The sequence below is a fragment of the Homo sapiens genome, chromosome 2, assembly GCF_000001405.40.
Source record: "Homo sapiens chromosome 2, GRCh38.p14 Primary Assembly".
Lineage (NCBI taxonomy): Eukaryota > Metazoa > Chordata > Mammalia > Primates > Hominidae > Homo > Homo sapiens.
In genome coordinates, this window is record NC_000002.12 from 207,069,218 (window position 1) to 207,073,475 (window position 4,258).

The 4,258-nt window shown below is 38.0% G+C and overlaps 1 annotated feature.

Moving 5' to 3' along the window:
- Positions 2,706-2,775: an enhancer, noted in NCBI's record as "active region_17029". NCBI's record gives its function as "activates an Ori minimal core promoter by ATAC-STARR-seq in GM12878 lymphoblastoid cells {active_cell/tissue: GM12878}" and the evidence as "EXISTENCE:reporter gene assay evidence [ECO:0000049][PMID:35858748]".

The following is a 4,258-nucleotide window of genomic DNA, read 5'->3' on the forward strand; positions in this document are numbered from 1 at the left end:
ACACCCTTGATGATTCTGATGCAGGTGGTCTTGGCCCACACATTAAGAAACATTGCACATAGTGGGTTTCTGCATGCATTTAAACAGAAGTCCATTTCTGTTTGGAAAATTATTATGTTGTGTAACTCGAAGCCCACCTTTATTGTAATGGAAAAGACTGGAACTAAGGGAGAAGGTTTATATTTGGTATTTTACAATCCTAACTCTCTAAGATTCATAAGATAGCTATTTTATTATTATAATTTTTTATTGCTCATGCGTCTTGTTAAGAAACATTCAAATTTGTAAGTATGTGATTAACACACCTTATACAACATGCATTCCTATGCTGACCTACTGTCTGGCATATCACAGTGTTTAACAAATAGACATGTGTTGGAATCCTCCATGTTAGCCTGCAGTTTCCTGTTTCTAATTCTCCCTAGGGGGATCAGCAAAACAACCCAAATCATTCTCTCAGTAGCACCATTCTAAATTAGGCTGAAAAATGAACACCCTCCAACTGGGAGATAATGACTTTATAAAGGTACAGAGGAAGAGGGGAGGAGGAAGAAGGATGACCTAGGGGAGATGGGGCCATGTCATTGGGGTGACACTAGAGAAGGAAGCCCAATGTGGGTTTGGGAGATGGTTTATCATTGTGATTTTTTTTTTTTTTTTTTTTTTTTTTTTTTTTTTTTGCAGCTATCAGAAGGTAGAGAGGCGAGAGAAAGGCAAAACGGGAAAAGAGAATAAATGGGAAGAAAAATGAAAACAAAGAAACCAAGATTGGGAACAGAAAGGCGTTACCAGCTCTCAGCATCAAAGACAAGATTTACATTTTGGCCATTCATTAATATTGTCATCATGTACTATATGTGCATTGGAGTATAGTTAGATATTTCTAAGGAAAGAGAGAAAATAATTTTTTACAAGTTTGAGACAGCATCAGTTCATTTAAGGTTTCCAGTGGTAAATCTTTTGGTTTTTGTTTCCATGAGTTCAGCAAACCATGTAAATAAGATCAGAGTTTTAAATTTTCTAATAGTCTGGGTGCTTTGACTAGCAATCCTATAATCCTAGTTCATGTACTTCTCAGAACAGTCTGCTGCAAACTTAACCCCAAGAACAGAATGTTGTCGAGCTGCAAAAAGGGTGTCATCATTGCTTAGGTTCTGATGTTAGAGTTCACAAATGATGTCCTTTAAATATACCCCCCAGTGACTCAAACACATCCTCGTTTTTATGAAGGACTGTTGACTTTCTGCTCACAGCAAAATAAGGATGCTGAAAGTTGTTGATTTAAAGAACAGAAGCAAGGCCAGCAAGTAGGGATGTGTAATTGCCATTATTATCTGACAAGAAGCTGCCCACTTGCTTCTTGGGTCTGCCCTGCAGACCCAGGTTCCTGTAGACTCTCATTTTGGTCATGTAGGAGACTTTGCCTGCCAGAGAATATTGCTTCAGTTCCTTTATGAAATGGCATGACTATCCTGGAGTTCTGCAGTGATGGGCAAAAAACTGCCTGCCTGATTACTTACACTTCCCACCTCCTGAATCCCCAAATTGGGCACTTGCTTCTATTTTTTTTCTATCCATTATCTCCCTACCTCTCATCCTCCTTGCACTTAAAAACTTTTCATATGAACGGATGGAATAAACGCATTAACTTTAAGGTCCATATGATAGATAGGGCATAAAGAATGATGTGTTCCTGATTAGTTGTAATTTAAAAATAAGGAAACTCTTAGGCTAAAACAATAAACATTTAATAGTAGAATATCAAGTGTTTGGGAGCTGGTTGGAAAAATATTTTGGGGGCTGAGTTGTGTGTTCATGTGCATGTATAGGCAGTGGCCTGGGCATCTCAGAACTGTGCCACGAAGGTGAGCACATTTTGAAGCTGTGCCTCACAGCATGCATTAGTTTCTGGGCATTGACTGTTGATTGGGAAACCTGGGGAAAGGCACAGTCAAGATCTAATGCTCAGGGCTCCAACCCCAGAACAATGGCAGGACGTGGCCACGAGCCCACCCACCGAAAGCGCCTGTACCTGAGGGAATGGGTGTTCCAAGCAGGGGAAAACGAGGCAGAGTATGTGCGTTCACTCCACTCACAGGCCACATTATCTTTTTCCTCTTAGGGGATCTCTGCATCCTTAAGTAACTTCCCAGTCATCAAATCAGTCTTTATTAAATTTTCACATGCACTTAGTTTTCGATTCAATTTGAAATGTGCTCCGAGGAGCATCATATGGACTAAATAATTAGCTAAAGAGAAATGGTACAGCATAGATTTTAGAGAATGGCACAGAACAGTGCCTCTTAAATACCACCAGTAGTAACTGAGGGCTTTTATGTAACACAAAGATGTGTACTTTTATTTTGAGTTATTTATTTTCATTTTTATTTAAAGGAAAAAATGGCTTATCAGACCAGTAGTTTTGGGGATATTTTTGCTGAGAACAAAGCTAAAACAGGTATTTGGGTTTTAAAAAGTGTGTCAATTTAAAAAACGATTGAAGAAGTAATAAATAGTGCAAGGATAATAAAAGAATCTTGAAGGCTGTGCTCAAGTAACTGCAGTTTAAGAAACACTGCCAAGTCCAGGAGAGCATCACCGCATATCAATAGCCCTGGATTTACTCCTGTTGTGCAAAGGACGTACTATATGACCCTGGACAAGTTGGAACCTCTCTGAACCTCAGTTGACTGAAGTAGAACGGTGACATTGAAGGAGATTGCCAAGATCGCCTCCCATGGTAGCATGTGGTGATGCTATTGATATTACAGGTTACCTTCTGTGTCTAGTGAGGTGGAAATGGGGAAATGATGTCAATCGTGATACTATGTCTGGAGACATCATGTACATAAGCATCAAGTTGACTCCTCCTCACCCTGAAGCAGTGAGGTATAGAGAAAAGTCTGCCACTTACTGTGTTCCCTGGGCCTTGATCAAGTCACTTACTCTCTTTGAAGCCCAGTTTCTCTACTTGTTTTTTGAATTATGTTTTTAATTGACAAATAAAAATCATATATATTTATTGTAAACAACCTGTTTTAAAATGTGTATACATTGTGGAATGGCTCAGTCAAGCCATAATTAACATATGCATTACCTCATATACTTACCATTTTTGTGGTGAGAACATTTAAAATTTATTCTCTTAGTGATTTTTGCACAAATACATTTCCAGTGATTATAGTGACCATGTAGTACAATAGATCCTTGTATTCCTCCTGTAGAACTGAAATTTTACATCCTTTGACCAACATCTCCCCAACCCCTCCTCACTTCAAAGCCCCTGGTAACCACGATTCTACTCTCTATGAGTTCAACTTTTTTAGATTCTGCATATAAGTGAGATAATGCAATATTTGTCTTTCTGTGCCCCCAGTTTTACCATTTGTGAGAGCAAATGGTCATGGTGATGAATAATACCTATTCAGTGTATGCAGTCTTATTGGACTACTCAAATGCAGTGTACGTAAAATGAAAAATTTCAGAAACATAAGTAAATGTTTATAAAACAAACATAAATTTTGTTCTTCCACCCTCCTGTAACTTTGTCATCACTTCCTCATTTTTAAATATAGTGTTGTTGTATGTATAGCTATATCATGATCAGGCAAAAAAGTTAATAGGTTAAGTTCAAGCCAGTAACTGTTGATAGTTTTTAAACTCTCAGATAAAATATTTAATGTTGGAGAAGGAATTAGGAATTGGCTCATGGATAAAACAGAAAACCATCACCTGCCAGTGACCTCAAAATCTTATTTTAGCTAAAAGTTTTAACCATCTCCTCTTCTAAACCTGTAAGTGGAAAATGAGCTACAAATAATAAATTATTTATCAATTCCACTGAACTCTGCTTTTTATGAGACTTCTTTCCATTACCCCAGCATTCCCAACTCCATATACAACCACAGATTATAGCTGGTACGCACCTTCTTCCCCCTAGGACATGCAGGTTACACTTTCAGACTACTGCCTGTTGGATTCAAATTATAGTTGTTTTTGCACTTAAGAATTCTTGTTACCAAGCTTGCCTAGTTGATCGTCTAGTTGACTAGGAGATAAATATTTCTAGAAGATGACACACAAAGAACTTGCAACTTCTAAATAGGGAGAACACAGAAGAGAAAGTAGAATCACCCAATATAAAGTATAGAGTCATTTTGTGCCAGGGCAAGCAACCCGGCAGTCTGGAGTCATCCCTGAATTTATATTATATTGTAAAAATGGATGCTCAAAAAGGTTGTAAAGTGGGCAATATATA